At 48.8% G+C, this 23,945-nt stretch overlaps 3 long non-coding RNA genes across 5 annotated transcripts in view, besides 3 other annotated features; 1 reads left to right on the forward strand and 2 right to left on the reverse strand.

The window, feature by feature from the left end:
• The window catches only part of LINC01605 (long intergenic non-protein coding RNA 1605), a 196,324-nt gene extending 176,391 nt beyond the window's left edge, over positions 1–19,933 (reverse strand). For all 3 annotated transcript variants that reach the window (NR_170186.1, NR_170188.1, NR_170187.1), the window contains exon 1: positions 19,155–19,933. This is a non-coding gene — a long non-coding RNA (long intergenic non-protein coding RNA 1605). The remainder of the gene's footprint in view (positions 1–19,154) is intronic.
• Positions 1,159–1,758: an enhancer, noted in NCBI's record as "H3K4me1 hESC enhancer chr8:37438583-37439182 (GRCh37/hg19 assembly coordinates)". NCBI's record gives its function as "activates a minimal SCP1, AML or CMV promoter by ChIP-STARR-seq in primed H9 embryonic stem cells {active_cell/tissue: H9 hESC(primed)}" and the evidence as "EXISTENCE:reporter gene assay evidence [ECO:0000049][PMID:30033119]".
• LOC105379378 (uncharacterized) lies at positions 1,660–4,953 on the forward strand. Its single transcript, XR_949681.3, has 3 exons — positions 1,660–1,746; positions 1,872–1,929; positions 2,851–4,953. It is a non-coding gene; the product is annotated as an uncharacterized LOC105379378 (long non-coding RNA).
• Positions 1,759–2,358: an enhancer, noted in NCBI's record as "H3K4me1 hESC enhancer chr8:37439183-37439782 (GRCh37/hg19 assembly coordinates)". NCBI's record gives its function as "activates a minimal SCP1, AML or CMV promoter by ChIP-STARR-seq in primed H9 embryonic stem cells {active_cell/tissue: H9 hESC(primed)}" and the evidence as "EXISTENCE:reporter gene assay evidence [ECO:0000049][PMID:30033119]".
• Positions 14,829–15,750: an enhancer, noted in NCBI's record as "H3K27ac-H3K4me1 hESC enhancer chr8:37452253-37453174 (GRCh37/hg19 assembly coordinates)". NCBI's record gives its function as "activates a minimal SCP1, AML or CMV promoter by ChIP-STARR-seq in naive H9 embryonic stem cells {active_cell/tissue: H9 hESC(naive)}" and the evidence as "EXISTENCE:reporter gene assay evidence [ECO:0000049][PMID:30033119]".
• Positions 19,934–23,000: 3,067 nt separating the features above from the next.
• LOC105379380 (uncharacterized) overlaps positions 23,001–23,945 on the reverse strand; it is a 55,679-nt gene continuing 54,734 nt past the window's right edge. Inside the window, exons 2-3 of the long non-coding RNA XR_949685.3 lie at positions 23,436–23,513; positions 23,001–23,140 (exon numbers count right to left, since the gene is read on the reverse strand). This is a non-coding gene — a long non-coding RNA (uncharacterized LOC105379380). The remainder of the gene's footprint in view (positions 23,141–23,435; positions 23,514–23,945) is intronic.

The following is a 23,945-nucleotide window of genomic DNA, read 5'->3' on the forward strand; positions in this document are numbered from 1 at the left end:
ATGATTTATTTTGACCTGCGTGTGGCAGGTGGAGGAGAATAATGATCAGGAAAAAATATATATAACTGTTCTTGTAAATCTCACCCATCTTTTTCCACCCAAAGAGAGAAAGTGGTTGAAAAGCTGTCCTTTATAATAGATCAGGAAGCTGCCAGAGGAGACAAAGCAGCAGTCGCCACATCACTGCTCAGACCTCCTCCAGCCAGCGAGACAGATCCCGCACCCAGAGATGGGACAGGGAGAAGCTGGGGGCTGAGGACCACCTCCCCCAACACCTCCCTATTTACTTTCTCTTCAAAATTGCAAGTCTCTGCTCAAAGCAAGGGCATCCATAGTTCTTCCACACAACTCAGGCGAGATTTTTTTTCAGAAGCTATTTCCTTTAACAATCTGCATTCCTTGCACATAACAAAATGTTTGGAAAGGGAAAAAGCTTGAATCATTAAAACAAGGTTCTAAACCAGTTTTAAGATGGGGCAGAGAGTGTCTGGCAGGAAGAAGACGTGGTCATCACACAGGAAGCCCTGGAAAAGTAATGCAGGGCAGATGGTAAGACGGAGACCAGCCTGGAAACAGAGATAAGAGGTTAGGTTCTGTGTCCCCAAGGGAGGCCCTTCCATGCCACTGCCCAGAAAACCCTCCATCCTCCATGTGCAAGGCCCAGGCACTACAGAGATGAAGCAAGGCAGGAATCTCGCCTAACAAGAGTCTGAACCCCCTCCCACCTCTGTGTGATATGGTTTGGCTATGTCCCCACCCAAATCTCATTTTGAGTTGTAGCTCACATAATTCCCATGTGTCGTGGGAGGGACCCGGTGCAAGGTAATTGAATCATGGGGTCACGTCTTTCCGGTGCTGTTCTCGTGATAGTGAACAAGTCGCACGAGATCTGATGGTTTTATAAAGAGGAGCTCATTTGCACACGCTCTCTTGCCTGCTGCCATGTAAGACCTCCCTTTGCTCCTAATTCACCTTCTGCCATGATTGTGAGGCCTCCCAGCCATGTGGAGCTGTGAGTCCATTAAACTTCTTTCCATTTATAAGTTAATCAGTCTCAGGTATGTCTTAATTAGCAGCATGAGAACAGACTAATACACTGTGGGACCTTGGCAGTTTGCAAAGTATTCAGATTTCTGTCTCCATTTGCTCAAATGTGACTATAAGGACATGGCTCACCTTGGATGGTTCTATCTCCATAAATGCTAACCCTGTGCCTAATTTTATAAGCATAATTTTATTCCATTGTGTGGAAAAAAAATTTTCTTTACATGAGAGATCACCAACACAATCAGGACCCAGGGGCACCCAGGGGCTCCCAGGAATGCAACCAACATCCCGGGAGCCTCTGCTGTGTCTTGGCCACGATGTGACGTGTGTTCACATGTTGTCACGATTCCTCGGTATAAGAAGCATGGGTACGACTGGGCCTTCCCGGGCTCACACTCTTTTCCATGTTGAACCCACAAGATGGGCAGCTCCTAGGAGCACCATGTTCCTTCTGTGCCCCCAGCACCCACACAGACCCCATGTGTCCTGTGCTCCCCTGGGTGAGGAGGACTCCACGGTGACTTCCTCCCAGAAGCCTGACTCCAGTGTCGACGTTTCATATGCAAAATACCAAAGGGTTCTCAGTAACAAATGCACTTCCTGCCAGGGCTCAGATCTGCCTTCTTTGACAGACAGAGGGCTTTGAAACTCAAATGGGGCAAGGAAAGAGACAGAGAGTGGGTGTTTGTGAAAAGCCAGGTAAAGTTTACTTGTGGCGGGGATGGGGGAGGTGACAGGGCCACTGTCTCTGCGGGGATGCTGTGCCGTGACCAGCATCCCCACAGAGAAGGCTCCAGTCCTCTCACCCCCTCCCGCCTCCCCAGGAACCACGGGCACACTGGCCCCACGCTGGCGGGATTGCTTCTACAGGATCTGCAAAAGGTTAGTCCCTAGTAGGGTGGGATCCCACCCCCCTTATTTTTCTTTTCCCACTCCTTTTCAGAAACAGCGCCTGTGCCTCCACGTCTCCGTTACACATATCGATTCTGACAGCTCAAATTAATATGTCAGATGCTGTGATCCTCGCTGGCGACAGGCCTTTTGACCCTATCAGTGCAATCTGCTTCCCTGATTGAAAATCTCTGCACCTCAAATTGATTCAGAGTTTTATAAACATCCTGCAGCCACAATTCAAGGAAGCCATCAATGAAAAACTTAGGAGAGATTCATTTGCCTGCTTCTGCCCCCGGCCCCTCCAACCAGCAGGGCAACTAGCAAAGGGACAAAAGGAAGGCTGAGAGTTCCAGGGACCCCCAGCTGAGGTGCTCCCCCTACATACACACACACACACACACACACACACACACACCCTGCCTGCATCCAAAAATGCAGTTGAAATGAGCCAGTGATGCCGGGAGCAGTGGCTCATGCCTGTAATCCCAAAATTTGAGAAGCCAAGGCGGGTGGATCACCTGAGGTCAGGAGTTCGAGACCAGCCTGGCCAACATGATGAAACCCCGTCTCTACTAAAAATACAAAATCTAGCTGGGTGTGGTGATGGGCGCCTGTAATCCCAGCTGCTCAGGAGGCTGAGGAAGGAGAATTGCTTGAATCAGGGAGGTGGAGGTTGCAGTGAGCCGAGAACGCACCACTGCACTCCAGCCTGGGTGACAGAGCGAGACTCCATCTCAAAAAAAAAAAAAAAAAAGAGAGATAGAGAAAGAAATGAGCCAATGACAGGGTCAGATTAGGCATCAGAGACTCTAGGTGCTGTGTGACCCTGAAAGAGTTCCTGAACCTCAGAGACTTGGTCTTCTCTTCAAAAAATGACGATAATAATAACTACTCTGCTTGACCCACCAGTATTGCTGTAAGGATGGAGAGAGAGAGGCATTCTTAAAGCACTGATGAAACGCAGAGAATTGTGGCTGGTTGTTAGAATATACTGCGGAGACGGATGAAACAAAATCGGCAAAATGCTGATCACTGTAGACGCTGGGAGATGGGTACGGCACAAGGAGAGTCACTAAGCTCTTCCCTCTAGTTTTGTGTATGTTTAAAATTTTCCCAACTAATATTTTTCTTTTTTAAAAGTTTTATTTGTAATTGACAAATAATAATTTTACTGTATATATTTATGGGGTAGAGTGTGTTGTTTCAATACATGTATTCATTGTGGAATGATCAAATTAGGGTACTTAGCATATCCATCACCTCAAATATTTATAATTTCTCTGTGGTTAGCACATGTAAAATTCTTTTAGCTATTTTGAAATGTACAATACATTATTATTAGCTACAGTCACTTTACTCTGCAACAGATCACCAGGACATATTCTTCCTACGTCACTGAAACTCTGCCCCCATTTGCCAACATCCCCTTTCCCCAACCATCTCTCCCCCCGACCCACACTCCCAGGCCTCTGGTAAACACCATTCTACTCCCAACTGTATGAGTTCAACTTTTTTAGATTCCATATATTACTCACTAATTTTTAAAAAGAGATATACGTCAAACCACAAAGTATGTGAGTTTTGTGTGTGTGTATGTGTGTGAGTGTGTGTGTATGTGTACACCCACACCCAAGAAAAAGGACCATCTGTGGGGAAGAGACAGAGTTGTCTGCATAGTAATTGCCTGTCAGTAAGGATCCCTCTGTGCGGAGCCCATTCAACTTCCTCCAGTGCCTCCAGCGCCCTCCCAGGACCTCTGGCTGGGTACTTGGCTGATGGGATGACCATTTGTCCATTCACCTGCTGTATGGCACCTTGAGCCAGTGGGGTGTGGGGACTGGAGTGTGATGTGGTGACGTCAGTCCTCGGCACCCAGCACATTTTTGATTAAATCAGCAATGCACCCTGCCAACCCCTCGACCCCTCTGCTACCTTTGCCACACTCAGGTCTCCCTCCAGCCAGCCCATCAGGAAGCTTCCAGAACCTCCTGTTTTGTGGCTGCTTTCCCAGTTATCCACAGCCAGCCAGCCCCAAGCCGGGCAGAGTGGACTGGAGGAGACTAGCATCTGATTTAGGTTTCTCCATGGGTTCTCAGGGTCCAGGGATAGTCTCAGGACCCTGACCGTAACAGCAGGAGCAGGTCGTCTACTTGTCAGCAGGTTTTGACAGCAGCAGGCAGGGCAGGCCCCATGATACTGGTTCTCCTATTTCTTCCCCACACGGACAAAAGGAACACAAAATTTTCCCCCAAACTTCTCTAGGACCTAAGGGTAACCCACGGGGGTCCCTCATCACCCACTCCCAGAAAGTAGCATCAGACTCTCTCCTTCCTTTGCCCACTCCCTCTATCACCGCCTCCACCAGGCCACACTGGGGAGAAAGAGTGGATGGGAGGGAAGAGGGAAGACTGAAGAGGAAGGAGGGGAAGGGGAAGCTGTGTGTGATTCTTGTGTGAACCGAGAGACACCGACCACAGCCCACACCCACCATAGGGCCCCACTTTGGGTCCCAGGATCCATCTCAAGCCATGGGGGCAGTTCTCACCAGTCTCAGTTCCTCTTGGTGAGGGGATGGTCAAGAATGGCACAGGTCATCGGCCTCAAGGGAAGCAGACAGCTCCCTCCCTCAGGCCACCACCCTGGAGCTCTGGAAAAAGAATGGCCAGGACACCATCATCTCTTCCCAACTCCTCACCCCTGCACTTCCCAAGTTGTCACAAATCCAAATGCCTTCTGAAGGCTCTCGCTGAGTGCCAGGGAAGCAAAGAAAGAAACTACTCCCCACCCATTGTCTCCAAATAGGCAACAACAAATAGATGCAACATTCACATCTTCAAATTCAATCTGTCTAGGGGGTTCTCACTCTCCGGCCCTGCCTCCCTGGTCCAGGTGTGTGTGGTATGTGTACAGTCCAGGGGAACGCACGGCCCTGGGCTCAGACCCTGGCTGCTCCACTTAACAAATTCCTTCATCTTTCTGTGCCTCGGTGTTCTCATCTAAAAAAAAAAAAGGGATAGACTGGGCACAGTGACTCACACTCATACTATCCCAATACTTTAGGAGGCCAGGGTGGCAGGATCAATTGAGATCAGGAGTTCAAGACCAGCCTGGGCAACATAACAAGACCTGGTCTCTACAAAAAATAAAATATTATCCAGGTGTGGTGGCACAACCCTGTGGTCCCAGCTACTTAGGAGACTGGGGCAGGAGGATCGCCTGAGCTCAGGACTTGGAGGCTGGAGTGAGCTATGATCATACCACTACACTCCAGCCCAGGGAGTGATGCAAGGCCCTATCCCTAGAAAAAGTAATTAATTTTAAAAAATAAAAAAATGGAAATAATTGGAATAAATTGGAAATAATTGGAAACAATTGGAATAAATGGAATAAAAAAAATTGTATTTGCTTTGTAGGATTGTTTTGTGGACCAGCAAGTTCATATTTTTGAAGTGCTTAGAACAGTGTCCGATACATGGTAAATAAACCCTGTGAGTGAGCTCTCATCCTCCTCATCACTATTACTGTTTGTTACTGGCTTCCTTAAAATCAACCTTTTTCTTCCCTTCCTCCAAACTGAGCTTACTCACTCCTTCATCTACCAAGGAATCTGTTCTCAGAATCCAAATTCTTTCTCCAAACTCAAATATGATGTTTCTTTCTTTCAAATTCTCCTCCTCCCTACAGGCCCAACTCTCATTCATTCATGGTGCCTCGTGACCCTCCAGAAATAGGATTTTTTTCCCTTGCAAAACCAACAAAATGTCCTTTGTTCATCCATGAGCTTGTATTAATTGTAGCTGCCAGTTTACGAAGCTCTTTTTATTATTTATTTATTTATTTATTTTTAGAAACAGGGTCTCTCTTTGTCACCCAGGCTGAATTGCAGTGGCACAATCATAGCTCACTGCAGCCTCAAACTCCTGGGCTCAAACGATCCTCCCACCTAAGCCTCCCAAGTAGGTGGGACTTAGAGGCGTGCACCACCACACCCAGCTAATGTTTTTTTTAATAGAGATAGGTTCTTACTACATTACCCAGGCTAGTCTCAAAGCCCTGGTTACAAGGAATCCTCCCGCCTTAGCCTCCCAAAGCATTGTCATTACGGGCGCGAGCCACTGTGCCAGGGCTAGAAAATTCTTTTACTTACAATAAGCCATTAATCCTTGGTGGGGGCTGGGAAAGAGAAGCAGTTTGCCCCAGCCCTTTCCCTTCCCACTTACAGCTTGTCAATGGCAGAGCTGAAGTTGGACTCCTAGCCTATCTGACCGTAAATTCAGGATTCTCCCAGAACTTTACCTGCCCCCGGTGAGACACACACCTGAGAAGTAACGCTGGGCAGAGAGGAGAAGCCGTGTTCAGGACCCTTCTATTCCTCACATTTAGTGGTCTCTAGAACTGTTCATCTGAAATTTTTGGTTATTCCTAACTAAAAAGTGGTGGTGGGGATGAAGGTCAACATGGGAAAATGTTTGTGATACATCATTGACTTAAAAATAGGTTATAGGGGCCAGGCGCAGTGGCTCATGCTTGTAATCCAAGCACCTTGGGAGGCTGAGGCACGCGGATCACTTGAGGTCAGGAGTTCAAGACAAGCCTGGCCAACATGGTGAAACCTCATCTCTACTAAAAATACAAAATTAGCCGGGTGTGGTGGCACACGCCTGTAGTCCCAGCTACTCGGGAGGCTGAGACAGGAGAATCACTTGAACCTGGGAAGGGGAGGCTGCAGTGAGCCGAGATCATGCCACTGCACTCCAGCCTGGGCGAGACAGAGTGAGACTCTGTCTCAAAAAATAAAAAAATGAAAAAAAAGAAGCTATAGGCTGGGTGCAGTGGCTCATACCTGGAATCCCAGCAATTTGGGAGGCTGAGGTGGGATCACTTGAGGCCAGGAGTTTGAAGCTGCCGTGAGCTATGATCATAACACTGTATTCTAGCCTGGACAACAGAATGAGACCTTGTCAAAAAAAAAAAACTTATAAAGTATTATGTGCAACAGGGTTTCATTTTTCTGAAAATACACACATTTAAAGAAGAGGCTAGAAGGATAGACCTTCAGCTTTGACAGTGGTAAAATTCATGTTTTTTATTCTCTTGTTTATCTGTACTTTCTAAATTTTCCACAAAATGCATTATTGGATTTTTAATGTAGGAAAATTATGAGACCTGGAGACAATGGACTCAGATGTCCAAATGTTCTGACGTTTACCGGAGGCTTCAGGGCTTAGAGCTTTCTGCTTACTGAGGAGAAATGACAAACAATGGGCTCTCCCTGTTTGGGACCCTAAGCCCACAGGCCGATGGCAGCCCCTGCATTTCCAGGAAAGCCTTGGTTCCTCCTCAGACTCAGAGTGGGGCAGCCAGGAATGGGCACCACCAGCCCCACTGGGGAGAGAAAGTGCTGTCACCTGCGTTGCCATCACCAATGTGGGGCTCCTTCGGGGCCTCGCCAGCACTTGCACACTTTATTTAATTTTTTTTAATTTCCATAGATTTGGGGGGAACAGGTGGTATTTGGTTACATGAGTAAGTTCTTTAGTGGGGATTTGTGAGATTTTGGTGCACCCATCACCCAAGCAGTGTACGCTGAACCCAATTTGTAGCTTTTTATCCCTCACCCTTTTCCCACCCTTTCCCCCTGAGTCCCCAAAGTCCATTGTATCATTCTTATGCCTTTACATCCTCACAGCTTAGCTCCACTTATGAGTGAGAACATATGATGTTTGCTTTTCCATTCCTGAGTTACTTCACTTAGAATAATAGTCTCCAATCTTAAATCACTTGAACCTGGGAGGCGGAGGTTGGAGTGAGCCAAGATCGTGCCACTGCACTCCAGCCTGGGTGACAGAGGAAGACTCCATCTCAAAAACAAAGCAAAAAAAGAGAATAGTAGTCTTCAATCTCATCGTGGTTGCTGCGAATGCCATTAATTCATTCCTTTTTATGACTGAGTAGTATTCCATTATATATATTATATACACAACAGTTTCTTTATACACTCATTGATTGATGGGCTGGTTCTATATTTTTGCAATTGCACTTATGCATTTTAATCATTTAATCCACACCACAGCCTCAAGGTAAGTGGGACAGTTAATCCTTTTCTCCATCCCACAAATCAGGAAACTGAGACCCAGAGAGGCGAGGGGATTTGCTCAAGATCCCACAACAGTCAGAACCAGGGATCGACAGAGCCTGGCTTCCTGGCATTCAGTTTACCGCACACACAGCAGGTCCCATCGGCCCTGGGATGGCGCAGGATTTATGGTGGGCATGTTGAGAAGCCACACCAGCCCTCTTGTTTCCCAAATATCTCCCTCGGGTCTTTCCAGGGAGTGTCCCGATCCTGCCTGGCCTCAGAACTTCCTGACCAGAACCACTCCTGAGCCAGGTGACTGCAGAAGGGCCCGGGTAGGTTCACTGGCTAATGCAACTGTGACAAGAGACCACATGCTGGGTGGATTAAATGACAGTGAAGGATTGTCCCACAGTTCTGGAGGCTTGAAGTCTGAGATCAAGGTGTCAGCAGGGTTGGCTCCTACTGAGGGCTCTGGGGAAGGATCTGTTCCAGGCCTCGCTCCTTGGATGGTAGGCGACCATGACTTGGTGGGTAGGTGACCATGGCTTGGCGGGTAGGTGGCCATGGCTTGGCAGGTAGGTGGCCATGGCTTGGATGGTAGGTGACGGTGGCTTGGATGGTAGATGACTGTGGCTTGGTGATAGGTGACCATGGCTTGGATGGTAGGTGACCATGGCTTGGTGGTAGGTGGCCATCTCTTCCCTGTGTCTTCACATGGTCATCGCTCTGTGCCTGTCTGTGTCCTAATTTCCTCTTCTTATAAGGACACCAGTCATATTGGATTAGGCCCCACCCTAGTGACCTCACTTTAATTTAATTACCCCATTAAAGACCCTATCTACAAAGATAATTACATTCTGAAGTACTGGCAGGTTTAGGACTTCACTATTTGAATTTGTGGGGGAGACACAAGTCAACCCTTAGCAGGTAAAACCCCCTTTACCTGGAAGAGTTCCCCAAATCTCTCCTGCTGGCACTCCAGCAGGAATTGGATGTCCACCTATCCTGGTGACCTGAGTCCTGAGAAGGGTGGGAAGACAAGGAACAACAGGGGAAAAAGCTGGCAGCGACAAGTCCTGGGATTTGGGGCAGGAGTTACAACAGGAGGGAGCTGGAATGATGGGTGCCAGCAAGGGCAGGTCCCCAACAAGCTAGTGTGAGACAAGGAGGCTGGCCCAGGGCCCAGATGGCCCACAGGTCTATGGAGACTGTCATTCCACTGGCAAGGGAGGCAGGTGCACCATAAAATATTTTTACCTGTAAAGAAGGATTATTATAGGATAATTGCTTTCCTAGCAAGAAGAAGCAAAAATCAGAAAGCTCTGGGACTTTGGACTAGTCACTTCCATATCAGTAAATGAAGATTAGCCAGATGGCTTCCACCTTCCCCTCCAGCACTGATGTTTTCAAATTCTAAGACAGTGAATCTTTCTCCAAATTTCGCTAGAACTGATAAGATTTCATCTGGGCCTGGCACGTAGTAGATGCTCAGATACATCCAGCTTCCTCCCTCCAGCTGCTGCCTTCCACTCTATGGCTATCATCAACTCCCAATTCCTCCTTTTGGGTTAAAACAAGAAAGAGGAAGAAGAGGTAGCATCATTAGATGCTGGGTGTACAACGCCCTTGGAAAGAATGCCCCAGAAACCAATGACAACAGCTGCCTCTGAGAAGGAGGAGCACAATAGTGAGGGGTCAGAACTGAGAGCAATTTTCATCTTCACTGCATATTTCTTTATACCTTTTGCTTTTTAAACCACTTGGATGTACTACCTATTAAATTAATTTTACAAGGTTGCAAAAGAATGGGATAACCAGTGCACACAGAGCCCTGAGTTTGTGATGGTTCCTGGCTCCCAGTCATCTCCAGCCCACCCTCGTCAGTGAGTCGGTCCTTCATCTTCATCCTCGTGTTGGTGATGCTACTGAGCTGCTGACCCCACATGGTACCAAGTAACCCCTACGCAAATCCTATGACCTTCACACCAACCTTAGAGCTAGGGAATAGTGTTGTCCCCCTGTTAGAGGGGAGAAAACTGAGGAGCTCAAAAGACAAGAAACTACCTAAAGATCCCACCAGGTGTGTCCAGCTCCTGAAGCTACACTCTGGGCCATTAGTTCTTGCCACTCCAACCCCTTCTGCTCCACATCCACTCCGAATGTGCATGTCCTGGCCCCTCAGTATAGACCAAGGATGTAGAGAAAAGAGTTTGTGTCATTTATTTTTATATTCTCCAACTCTCCCCTTTCTCCACCCCACCAAAAAAATAATAATAGTAGCTTTCCTAGCCCTGAACAAAAATGAGCATTTGTTCAATATTTGCTGGATTGAATTAAACTTATCAAAAACAGAGTCCCCTTCCAGACCACAGCCTTCATCGTCATCATCGTCATCATCATCATCAGCAAATGTTTCATGAGGCATCTACATTGTGCTAGCATCTGGAGAAGACTTATAGATGCTTAAGCCTGGCAGATCTAGAAAGAGCTTCTAGATAATACTTCAGGGTAGGGCAGATTATGGAGCACCTCTAGAAATGTTTGCAAAACTGCCTTTTCCCTCCTCCTATCCCACACACACCCATGCACACTCATAAAATATTCTCAGTTGAGATAAGATGTTTCAGCCATAAATCCATCATGGTGGGGCAGGAGGTTTCATTTAGCAAGTACAGAGCTGCATTGCAAAGCAGTTATCAATTCAAGGAGGAAAGGTGCTCAGCTCGCCTATCTCCTCATCTCCCAGCTCTGGCGGAGACACCTGTCAGAAGGAGAGGCAGCAGCTGCCTTTCAGGTCTGACATCTCTGAGGCCTGGCTGGGATGGGGCTGGCCCCTGGGGCTGGGCAGGGTGCTTCCAGACAAAACTAGGACTGGGTGACCTCCTCAGATGGGAGCAGGGCATGGCTTTCAGAAGTAACCCCCCACCAAAAGCAGGGAATTCTCCTTCATCCCCTTGATCCTTAAGAGAAGGGGCTCGTCCTGCCCTGTAAACCAGAAAATTGGTCCTAAAGTTTGAGATCAGAAGCATTTTGCCGCTGGAGCTTTCTCAGAGAAGGGAGGTCAGTATTCCAATGCCATAGATAATAGTCAGAGAGTCATTCTCATGGGAACTAAGCTTTGCCTATCACTGTTAAGTTTACAAAACACCTGCTATGCACCATCTCATTAGCTATTATTTCACAATGATCCAGTGAGGTCAGCAGGGCAAATGCTCTATACCCTTATGTTCACTTGAGTCACAATGAGATAAACTGACTTGTTCAAGATCACACAATTTGTTAATGACGTATATTAGGTTGGATCATCTGAGGCTGCCTATAAAGATGGACAACCCCGGTCTTCTCCCTTTGACTTCAGAGGGCAAAGAGAAGGCTTGATTTGTGCCTTGGCTGGCAAAGCCCCCCAGTGGGGTAGGAGTCACTCTGTCCACAGTGACCACACACAGCTTTCAAATCCATAGGTCCCTTCATGGCTTTGGAGGAGGGGGAAAAACTGCACCTTAGACCTTCTTTATTCTCCATTCCTTTCTGTCCTCCAGGACCAATGGGGTAGGTCAGCCCCAGTGAACTCTCAAATGACCACTGAAGGAGGAAGTGAGTGCAGAGTGTGATACCACTCACATCCCAGCCCAGACTGTTTGCTCAGCTGGGAGGAGTGTTGCAATTCTTCTTCCTGCAGAGATAACACCCCTTCTCATGGCTTCAGGCATCACCTATCTCCTCTAGGCTGCGCTCCTACTTGTCCATCTCTGCTTTGACCTTGTTTCCAGGCTCCAGGAAGGACATTTGCATGTAGCTGCCTTGCCCCATTGCAGTCTACAAGCCTGAAGTCGGGGCTGTTCATTCCATTCCCCTTAGGCCCCCACTTCCTCTCACTTTCTCTCTCCCCAAGCTGGAAACCTCAGATCATTTCTAAATTCTTTCTTCCCCTTTGCATTTCAATGAACAGAAGTTCCATCAATACATTTTATCACTGTTCAGTCTCATCACATTCCATGCTTAAGGCTCAAAGAGACCTATAGAAACAGCACTGTTGCTCACTCAATGGGCAAAGGCAGGGAGGCCCAGCCCATTTGCAGTGGGATTCTCTTCCTCTCCCGCCTCTGTGGCCCTGACTCTAGACTTGGGCTCCAAGATGTTGGAATGGTGTCTCTCCCCCTCACTACCCTGCACATAGCACAGTGCCCTGGTAAACATGAGGCCTCAGAAACACTCCCTGCTCCAGGCACTTAGAACTTAAGAGTTTTTTGTTTGTTTGTTTGTTTGTTTGTCTTGAGACAAGGTCTCGCTCTGTCACCCAGGCTAGAGTGCAGTGGCGCGATCATGGCTCACTGCAGCCTCGACCTCCTGGGCTTAAGCAATCCTCCCACCTCAACCTCCCAAGTAGCTGAGACTACAGGCATGCACCACATGCCTGACTAATTTTTGTATTTTTTGTAGAGATGGGGTTTCAACACGTTGCCCAGGTTGGTCTCAAATTCCTGGGCTCAAGTGATCCCCTCCTGCCTTGATCTCCCAAGTTGCTGGGATTACAGGTGTAAACCACCATGCCAGGCTAGGAATTTAGAGTTCTTAATACTAGTCTGGCTTCTAGCATTCTCGAGCAATGGGGAAAGAAACCAGAAAACACACAGAAGGGACAGGTGTTTGGTTTAGGGACCACCTTCACTCTAGCCGGCCGCATTCCATTTTTAAACCTATCTGCTGGTATTCCATTTTTAAATGAGTCTGACTCCATCCGTCTACTCAGCCTTACTCCCTGACAGCTTCTGACAAACTTGCTCTGACTTATGGACACATAGATCTGGGTCCAGTGCAGTTTAACTCTGGAAGCAGTGCCCGCCCTCATTGCCCGAGCGAGTAGGCAAGTGGCAGGGTCTTGGGGATGAGAATCACAAGCCCTGCCTTGCCTCTCTTCTCACCAGTGCTGGAAATGCCATTGACAGGGAACAATCTATACAATGGGATGAGACCTCAAAAGCAAATGCGGCTGGGCACAGTGGCTCACGCCTGTAATCCCAGCACTTTGGGAGGCCGAGGTGGGCAGATCACCTAAGGTCAGGAGTTTGACACCAGCCTGACCAACATGGCAAAACCCCGTCTCTACTAAAAATACAAAAATTAGCCAGGCGTGGTGGCAGGTGCCTGTAATCCCAGCTACTCAGGAGGCTGAGGCAGGAGAATCGCTTGAACCCGGGAGGTGGAGGTTGCAATGAGCTGAGATCACACCATTATACTCTAGCCTGGGCGACAAGAGCAAAACTCCATCTCAAAAAAAAAAAAAGCAAATGCACCTGGGAGAACTAAATGTTGGCTTAAATTCATGCTAAGGTGTAAATGACTGCTAGCAGTGCTTTCCTGAACGCTGACTGATGATAAAGGAGGAGAAGGTGCACCCAGAGTTGATGCAGTCAACATGCTTTGGTGGACAGAGCACTGGGCCAAGTCTGGCGATGGGAGATCTAGTCTCCACTCTGCCTGTCATTTATCTGATGATTTTTAGGAAAGTTATTCTACCTCTTCGAGCCTCGATTTACAAATCTACAGCAGGGGACAATTCAGCTAGGTAATCTCTAAGGTCTTTTCAGATCTGGCAAATTGTGATTTGGCTGTTGCCTCTAGCCTACCCCCATTTGTCTTCTTAACCTCGCACTGTGCAGGTAACATGATCACACCTGTGCCGAAAACTCCTGTTGTTCAGACCAGAGTCAAACAATGCCTCCCAGGCAGATTTAGAAACCAAGGTCATCAAAACCCTGAGGAATACAGAAAGAGACAGAAGACCAAATTTCAATATAGTCAACGATCCTTTGGAATCACGGGGGTAGAGCTCCGTTAGACATGACATAAGACCCTGTGGTCACACATATGAAATTACAATCATCCCTCAGATTTGTGGAGTGAGTTACCATGAGCCATCCCCTTTCCTATCCCTTTTCTAATTTGATCTTCCCTAAAACTGTGGGAAGCAGACAGGGCAAGATGTTTCACCCCCATTTCACAGATTTAGAAATTGAGTCTCAGATGGAAGAATCATAGCAAGTGAGTGGCAGCCAAGCCTCCAATTCAGATCAAGTGAGGAGTCCTCATGTCCCAGGCCCCCATCACCCACTGCCACTTCCTTTCTTATTTTCCACCTGTGTTTCGAGATACGAAAGTGAGGGAGAAAAAGGCAGAGGGAGGCATCTCTGCCGGAAAATCTGGGTGAGCGGCGAAGTCCACAGAGGCTCAGTCGCTCCTGTCAGCTCTCTCTCCTCTCTCCTTCTCGCTGCCTGCAGCCAGAAACCTCAGACCACAACCTTCTTACTGCAGCCTCCCGCCTGGGACAGCGCCTTGTCCCCATGCCCCGTGAGGCCAGCTTGCTGCAGCAAGCCTCACCATGGTTAGCTCTCCTTTGCCCCTTCCCCTTCAGCTCTGCCCCGCCAAGGCCAGGCCTACTCTGGGATCATTATGAAGCAGGTGACCTCCGCTCATGACTAATTGTGCAAGTAGGGCAGAGGTAACAACAATCCCAGGAAAGGGGGTGGAGGCAGGGAGAGAGAGAAAAATAAGAGAGAGACAGACAGACAGACAGAAAAAGTACTGCTTTAATAAGAGGGTAATTGCCCTGTTTAGGATTACAATCTGCCAGCATTTCACTAAACTTTATGACACATGATGACAAGTTAATAAGCCAGATGCCTCACTATGTGCCTTAAGCAGATGCTCCATGGGTTACCTCCCATGCCTCCTCGTGCAGGGAGGTAACCCCTGCAGCCAGAAAAACACACAGGGCCAGCCAAAATAAAAAAAAATCCCCAGGAAGGTGTGGGAGAAGAGAGCCGAAAAGGTGGGGAAACTGGTTATTTCTGTTGTCAAAATGGCCCCAGCAATAAATCACCATTAATAATACTGTCATCTATCAAAGAGGAGCTCTGGTTGCCAAGGCCTTTGAAGTGGCAGCACCTATAATTTCCCACCTATAAAAGGTACCTTTGTGCATATGTCATGCTGGAAGATGACAAGAGCAAGACACCAAGGAGTTCACACCGTCTCCACGCCCCTCCCAATGGCGAGCCCTTGGAGTGCCAAGCCATGCCCACTCCCTCCTTCACCCGGGATGGCCCAGGGCCTGCCTGACTTCATTCACTTGCTGGAAGGCAGAGGGGCTGGGTGGAAGGAGGGGTGGGGACTGCCAGGAGTGGCTGCATGTCCAGACAGATCCGGGAGCTCCCAGCCCCTCTCACCAGCTAGCTGCGCTGTGATGGGGAGGGACACTTTCCATCCTCCCCTCAGCTCCAACCCCCAAGAGCGAAGGCCTGAGGGAGCCTGAGGTCTAAGACAGTGTCTGTCAAAAAGGGAGCCCTGCCAGGCACGGTGGCTCACACCTGTAATCCCTGCATTTTGGGAAGTCGAGGCAGGTGGATCACCTGAGGTCAGGAGTTCAAGACCAGCCTGGCCAACATGGTGAAACCCCGTCTCAACTAAAAATACAAAAATTAGCCAGGCATGGTGGCAGGCACCTATAATCCCAGCTACTTGGGAGGCTGAGGCAGGAGAATTGCTTGAACCTGGGAGGTGGAGGTTGCAATGAGCTGAGATCACACCACTGCACTCCAGCCTGGGTGACAAGAGTGAAACTCTGTCTCAAAATAAAGAAGGGAGTCCTGACACAGCATCACCAGGGAGTCTCCCCAGGTGCCCCTGCTAGGGATCGGGAAATTACGGGGGGCATGGGATGTGAGGACGCCTCACTTGACCTGAGTTGGAGGCTTGACTGCCTCTCACTTGCTGTGATTCTTCCATCTGAGACTCAGTTTCTTAATCTGGAAAATGGGGATGAAAATTCTTGCCCTGTCTACTTCACACAGTTCCACAGAGGAGCAAATTAGATAAGGGATGAGAAAGGGGAAACTAGATGGTCATAGAATCTGCATCTTGATCCAGCTCCCCAGGAAGTGAGTTTCACACACACGAAGGTTTAAGAAGCGCTGGCCGTGGTCCCTTCCCCTCTGCCAAACCAGGAGTATGAACGCTTAGAAAGGCGGCTAGGGCTGCCTCACCAGAAATTGATGGCCTCTGGGTTTTGGAGGCTGGAAGGCCAAGACCAAGACCAAGGTATTGACAGGATTGGTTCCTTCACAGGCCCCGTCTGTGGCTTGCAGGTGACTGTCTTCTCCCCGCTTCTTCACAGGGGCTCCCCTCTGCACGTGTCTGTGTCCACGTTGCCCCTTATCCAACAAGGACACATTTCTATTGGACTAGGGCCCACCCTAGTGACCTCATTTTAACCTAATTACCTCTTTAGAGACCCTATCTCCAAATACAGTCACAGTCTAAGGTACTGGGGTTATGAGTTCAACATATAAACTTTGAGGGGGACAGAATTCAGCCCCTAACAGGCCTTAAAGCTCAGCCCAGGATGAGCCCTGGCCAGACAGAAAAAAGGCCCTAAAAGCCACTTAAGCTACTGGCAACATCTGAAACTCTCATTTCCTGATCCTGGGATAAATCTTCTTCTGAATTAACTGAGCCCAGCCCTCTATTCCCCCACTGCACTTCATGGGTGATTTGTCTGTAGATTTAAAATAGCCGGGTGCAGTGGCTTACGCCTGTAATCCCAGCACTTTGGGAGGCCGAGGCAGGCAGATCACGAGGTCAGGAGTTCAAGACCATCCTGGCTAACATGGTGAAACCCTGTCTCTACTAAAAATACAAAAAATTAGACAGGCGTGGTGGCGGGCGCCTGTAGTCCCAGCTACTTGGGAGGTTGAGGCAGAAGAATTGCTTGAACCCGAGAGGCAGAGGTTACAGGGAGCTGAGATCGCGCCACTGCACTCCAGCCTGGGTGACAGAGCAAGACTATATCTCAAAAGATAAAATAGATTTAAAATAGAGGTGCCGGGCTCAGTGGTTCATGCCTGTAATCCCAGCACTGTGGGAGGCTGAGGCAGGAGGATTGCTTGAGGCCAGGAGTTTAAGACCAGCCTGAGCAACATAGTGAGACCCCATCTCTACAAAAAAAAAAAAAAAAAATTAATTAGCAAGTGTGGTGGCATGCACCTACAAAAATAAAGAAGTAAAATAAAATAGGCCCACATCCCATCCAAGAGGAGGCTCCACCTTGGTCTTGCCTCCCAGTGAGGTACTTTTGAATGTCACTTAGACTGAGAATCCCAAGATATCTCTAAAAGTGAATATGTATTGAGCATAGAGTGTACTCTGTCCCCAGCACTGTTCTGAGAACTGATATCATTTCATCTGCACAACTACCTATGAGGCAGAAACAAATAAGGAACAGGTTGGGTAATTTGCTCAAGGTCAACAGTTAGCAAGGGCCAAGCCTGGCCTGGAACCCACGTCTTTGCAATTCTAGAGCCCACGACTTCATCCCCGATGGTTTTCTGCCTCCTGTCTACATGTGGAGATACCAAGCCATTAAAGTTTGAGCGGCTCCTGCCGCCTGTGATCACCCGCAGAACTGCTAGGAGTTTAGGACTAGACTTTATCATTTTATGGAGGATTTAAAGCTACTTTTATCTGTGGGGTATTGTTCCAAAACCAAGGCCATATATTTTTATGTGTTTTACGTAAGTGCATGTGTAATTTATTGATAGCAAGGTTTGCATGCATTTGTTCTGTGAATCAGCTCGGGCTGGACTTCCTGGGAATCCCAGGCGAAGATCTCAGGGTCTCTTTCTGCTGATGGCTCTCCCTTCCACGACCGGTCCCTTCCCTTCCCTGGGCTTCAATTTCCACGTTGGTAAATGAAAGGGTTAAGCTATTTCTACAATCCCTTCCTTCTTGGGCATTGTTGATTCCTGGGAAGCCCTGACGAAGAGAGAGGACGGTAAGAGTTTACCTAAACGTCTCTGCACCCCATGCTTGAAAACTCAAAGATCAGCCCCGAAGCGTCCATGAATCCTGGGACAAAGAAAAGGACTTCAAGGCCTCATACCTATCAACAAGAGAGATTCCTGCTCCTCCAGCCCCTCCACCCCTTCACTTTTGTGCTGAGGAACCCCCCATCACCAGGAGGAAGGAAGCCTGCCCAGTAAAGGGGCACTCCCAACAGCCCACCAGCTCCTGCGCCCAGCTGCCCCTGAAATCCTCGGACTCATTTTGTCCAGCAGCCTTGACTTTGTCAGGGGTACCAGTCATGTAATCCCTGAGGTGTCTACAAAACCCCGCAGTCATGGGCTCCATGCACACTCAAGAACAATGAGGAGCTTCAAAAGCTAAGGAGGCTTTTCCCAATGCTTCCATGGTGTCTCGATGGTTCCTGAGGTCTTGATACTCTGCCATGGCTTGGCAGTTTGGAAATGGTTTCCTGGTCTGGCTGTCCTAAGGATCCCTGGTTGTGTGACTGGGAACAAACCCTTCAACCTTCCAGGCACAGTTTTCTTCTGTAAAATGAGAGGGTTGGGTGCAAGTTTCCTGAGGCCCTGGGGCCTTGTGGCTGAGTTTATCTCCCCGACTCCCTGTCCATCCTCCTATGGAAGTACTCATAAAGCATTTCACAGCCACAAGGAAAAGGCACACAAGGTCCCCCAGCCCCCACACACAGAGGAGCCACACCTGCACCCCTCCCTCAAGGCCAGGCTTCCTCTCCCCCAGCACACGCAAGTTCTTCTCGGCCTCCCAGCTCTTTTCAGCAGCTCCCCAGAATGGAACGGCCCAGCCATGGCTTCTCAGAGGACAGCTTCTTGGCAGAGCTGGGAGTGGGTGGAGTAGAGCACATTTTTTCCTTTGAGGTCCAAAGGGCTGTCAACCCTCTTCAGCTGCCCTGGGGCCCAACAGCCACAGAGAGAGATTTATGACCTGGATAGCTTTGATCCCAGTCTCCGATAAACATCAGGAACAGCTCGACCCTAAACCCCGAGGAGAAGGTTTATGGATCAGAATGCAGCCTCCTGGAGAAAACGAGCCCAGGAGGGGGTGCCCAGGGACTGATTGGGCCCTTAAAGTTCTCTCATCAACAGACCCACTGCCATCTGCCCTTGCTTTCTGGGGAAAGGGACACAGCTGGGTGGCTGAGGCCTTTGAACAAGAAGCAATGCTGATCAGAGAGAGGTGAAGATCCTGTCAAAGGTTAAACTGGGGAAGGGGTGGAGGCGGTGGGCCCAGGCCTCTGAAATTCCCCACCCTCGCTCACCTGTTCTTCCAAACAGCGTTGTCCATGTTTCTCTAAACCACACACCAAGACAGAGCAGAGAGAGAACGCACCAGATAAGATCTGAGCTGAGAAAGGAATGTTTCATCCGTGGGTTTTGTTGTCCCTGTTCTTCTTGTTGATACTGTTGTTCTTGGTGATGATGGGGGTGGTTAATTGCTTGATTATATTTCATCCCTGTCTTCTTTCCAAAAGGACAGGGGGCCAGGAGAGTCTGTGTGGTCACAAACCCTTCATAGCTTTTTCCCGTCCCCTCCACTTGACCATGTGGGATGGCAGGGAATCCACACCCTCTTGGAACATCCCCTGTTTTGCTGATTGAAAAGAGATCCTAGAAACAGCACTACATCCAAGGTGAAGGAGGGGCCAGCCAGTCTCCTCTGGATGCCACCTCAGATGGGTTGCCTCAAGTTTAAGGTCTCAGCCACATCCATAAAACTGTTCCCCTCTGTGAAGCAACTTCTGCCATGGGGAGGTGGAGAAGGATCTTCTCAAAGCAAGTCCGACAGGCAGAGTCTTCACTCTCCGGGGTCCGGAGTGTTCTATAGACATCGGGAAACATACATCCATCTAAAAAGACACCCTAATAAACCTGCAGCTATTCATTGCACCCAAGAAACCAGCCTGTGGCCCACGCATGCAGGAATAAACACATATTTGCTGAGAACCAAATTGGGTCTAATGACCCTGGCCTGTCTCGCAGGGTCATCCTGAGAAATAGCTGATGTCAGACGACGAGCGTGAGCAGCTGTTCTCCATTTGCACTCAACAAGAGAAAAGGGCCTTAAATTTCAGCGGGAGGGATTAAGGTTAAACATTAAGAACAGCTTCCTGGCTAGGAGGGTTGTGAAACACTGTAATGTGTTACCAAGGATGCTGTAGACATTCCTCTCTCAATGAGACTTTAAAGAGGAAGGAGGTTGGTGATCTGCCCAGGAGGTTTTATTAGAAACTTTATTAGGTCATCTGGTCCATCCGCCTGAAGGCAAGGGCTTGGACTAAACACCCACCAAGCAAGGCCTTTCTGGGCACAGGAAGGCCTCTATAGTCCTTCACAATCAAAAATGCTGAGAAACTCCCTGGGCCCTAGACAGTGAAAAGAGAAACCAGAGTCATCAGCGAGGCCACCCTTTGGGGCCTGATTTCAAGCTTTAGCTAGTGTTAGTCGCCCATAGCAATAAGAGGGAGAAATGTGATTTTCAAACCCTCCGGAGACCAATACAGTTATTTACCAAACAGCACCAAGTGAAGCTTCCCCACCCACAGGGAAAGGACCATTTCCTGAAAATCAGGTCGGCCCCTGGCATTCCAAGGGCAAGCAGATCACCAGTTCTGACGTGTGGGAGCAAAAGGCAAACCATAAGATCACACATCTGGCTGGGCACGGTGGCTCACATCTGTAACTCCAGCACTCAGGGAGGCCAAGGCAGGATCGCTTGAGGCCAGGAGTTCAAAACTAGGTTGGGCAACATAGTGAGACCCCATATAAACTAAAAAAAAAAAACTTAGCTGGGCACGGTGGTGTGCACCTGTAGTCCCAGCTACTCAGGAGACTGCAGCAGGAGGATCGCTTGAGCCCAGGAGTTTGAGGCTGCAGTGAGCTGGAATCATGCCACTGGACTCCAGCCCAGGCAACAGAGAGAGAGACCCTGTCACAAAACAAAACAAAACAAAACAAAACAAAACACCACATCTTATTGCCAGTGGAACAATCCACCCATTTCACAGATTGGGAGACTGGGGCCTAGATATGGGCAATGTCTTCACACAGTTACTTTGTATCAGAGTTAGGACTGGAAAACCCTGGTTAGGAGGCTGACTTTATCACTCACTACCTGCGTGACCTCAAGCAAGTCATTTAACAACCTCCGGCCCTCAGTAGCCTCTGCTACAAAATAAACAGTTTTTAATCAGGAAACCTAATACACGGAGCACTGTCATCAACTCCAGAGCACTATAGATGGAAAGTGACTGCCCTTGTTACCATCACTCTCACTTCTAGTCCTTTCTGTTCATCTAAGCTGCTGTAAATGTAGTCCTCTAACTTGGAGGGGATCCTTCTAAGTTCTCAGATTAACAGAAAAGTAAAATCTTTGATCTTTAAGACCATGGAAGGTATCTCGTTGGTCTTAGTCAACATCCCATCCAAGCCACTTGTTTTGCAGATGAGATAGGAGAGTATCCGCATACACTCAGAGAATGACAGCAGAGAACATCCCAGGCAGAGGTCGGGGTGGGGAGGAAATGCCAAGGATAAGCTTGGTTGACCTCTCAGTGAGGCTCCCTGGCCCTGGGTATAATTTTCAACTCATTAACTTGAAATCCTAGGTATGCTAAGTCATTCTTTGGTCTCTATTTCCTTAGTAGCCTCTGTTTCCACAGCCCCCAAGTTGCCTGGTTCTGGGGTTAGCACCCGGGGGTGGGAGGGTCTCCCAAAGTCATTCTTGACTAACTTGATGAACCCCGGGAATCTTCCAGTCTCTCACCATCTTCAGCCCTCCCCACCCACTCACCTCCTGCCCCGTCCCACCACTGTCTCTAAAAGGTCAGTTCCCACCCAAGGCAAGAGCAACTCAACAAAATACAAGGACATTTGGTAAGCAACTATTATTTGCAAGGCTCTGGGTAAGCAGATATTATCTGATTTGACCCCCCTGCAACCATCATGCAAGATAGTTATCATCGCCCACCTTTTACAGATAAGCAAGCCATGAATCAGAGGTTACCCAACATGACCTAGTGACACACGTAGCAAAAGTGGCAGATCTGGGGGTTAAATTCTGGTCTCTGAGGCCCCAACGTTTGAGGGGGCAGCTGCTCCTAACCCCGATCTGGGAATCCATCACTCTTCCTAAATGTTTCTGACATTGTCTGCCAGTTCTGATGCTGCAGCCCTCACCTTGACCCCAGGCCTGAGTCCCCTTCTCGGTGAAATCCGATATCCCCTGGGATCGACCGAGGCCCGTCCCTATTCCCCAATTCCTGGAGTTCCATGGTGAATAACAGACATGCCGTGGGGTGGCTTGCTGACCAAGACTTTCAAGCATCCAGATTCTATCACTGTGAGAGCCCGCTGCCTATCCGGAGGGTATGTCCCCTCACTCCATTGCCTGGGTGACACCACACCTTTGGGCCATGATATACCTGCAGAAAGGGACTCCTTGCAAGGCCTGCCCATCCTAGGGCACATCACCTGCCTGTTGTTGCACTTGGCCAGATTCCCCTTAGTCAAGCCCAGACTAAGGCACAGCAACCAGGCCTGCTAGAGGCACCTCCAGATAATGCCATGGTAGCACAGCAGTCAAGAGAACAGGGCCAGGCACAGCGGCTGATGCCTATAATCCCAGCTCTTTGGGAGACGAAGGCGGGCGAATCACCTGAGGTCAGGAGTTCAAGACCAGTCTGGCCAACGTGGTGAAACCCTGTCTCTACTAAAAATACAAAAAATTAGCAGGGCGTGGTTGTGCACACCCATAATCCCAGCTACTCGGGAGACTGAGACAGGAGAATCGCTTGAACCCGAGAGGCGGAGATTGCAGTGAGCTGAGATCTTGCCACTGCACTCCAGCCTGGGTGACTGAGCAAGAGTCCATCTCAAAAAAAACAAAGAAAAGAAAACAGACTCAGGTCAGACTAACTAGCCGGGAGCTCTTGGACAAGTTCCCTATTTACACCTTAGTTTTCCCATCTATAAAATGGAAATATGAGTACCTACCTCACAGAGTTCTGATGAGAATTACATGAGCTAATGTTTGTGAGCACTTAGACCACAGCCTGGCACCTGGTTAGTACAACCTACATGTTATTAAACAAAAGTAAAGGCCTATACTCTGAAGTTTGAAAACCACAGGCCAGGAATCCAGTCATAGGCTCGGGGAATCGTGAGGTTGAAGGGAAACACCTTTCTCCCAGTGCGACTGTCCTTGCTCCCACAGCACCCACAGGTGAGCATGCAGCCTCTGGAATACCTGTAAAGATGAGGAGTTCACTACCTTACAGGCAGACTAGCTCGATGTTAAACAATTTTAATATTTTTGTTTACCTTGAACAAAAAGCAGCCTGCCTGAGCTCTGAGTCCCAGAGCCTGCTCCCTTTCCCGTGACAGCTCAACCCCGCATTCCCTCCTCATCCTGCTCTGGGCACCCTCAGCTGTGCACCGTGATTAGCAGGCGGTTTCCATGCTGGCGGGTCATGCAAACCAGCCCAGTGCATTTTTCCCTGCTCCCCACACCTTCTCTCTCCTGAACCCCCAGGCCAGCATACCAGCACGCACACCCGTGTTGACAGCTCCCAGGGCAGCTCAGCCAGGCAGGGCGTCGTCCAGAGCCAAGTGGATGGTGCCTGGGGACAAAGTAGAGCGTGTGGACTCTGAGAAAAGCCTCCAAACACAGGGCCTAAGACAGAGAAGGGGAGGCTTGTTCCAGAATCTGCCTTAACACCACAAAATGGACAGGTGAGGGGGATCTGGGAGGCACCAAGGAGTCTTCTGCCCCTTTGAAGGGCTTGAGCATCTGGGCTGAGCAGTGCCATCTTCTTCCATTCCTTTAATCAATGTTCACACGGATGGGAAGGATAATGCCAATGCTTGGGTGCAAGTGAAACTGATATTTTTTTGGGGGAGTCAGTGACAGGATGGGTGCCCAGAGTGAAAAGAGATTTTGGCAAACAGAAGAAAGGGCACCACAGGTAAAGACTCAAATAAACTCCCTCCACCTCTTAGCTTGCCTGGAAGGACTGAAAAGGAGAAGATGGATAATATTTATTTCAGGGTCT

Source organism: Homo sapiens, chromosome 8, assembly GCF_000001405.40.
Source record: "Homo sapiens chromosome 8, GRCh38.p14 Primary Assembly".
NCBI lineage: Eukaryota > Metazoa > Chordata > Mammalia > Primates > Hominidae > Homo > Homo sapiens.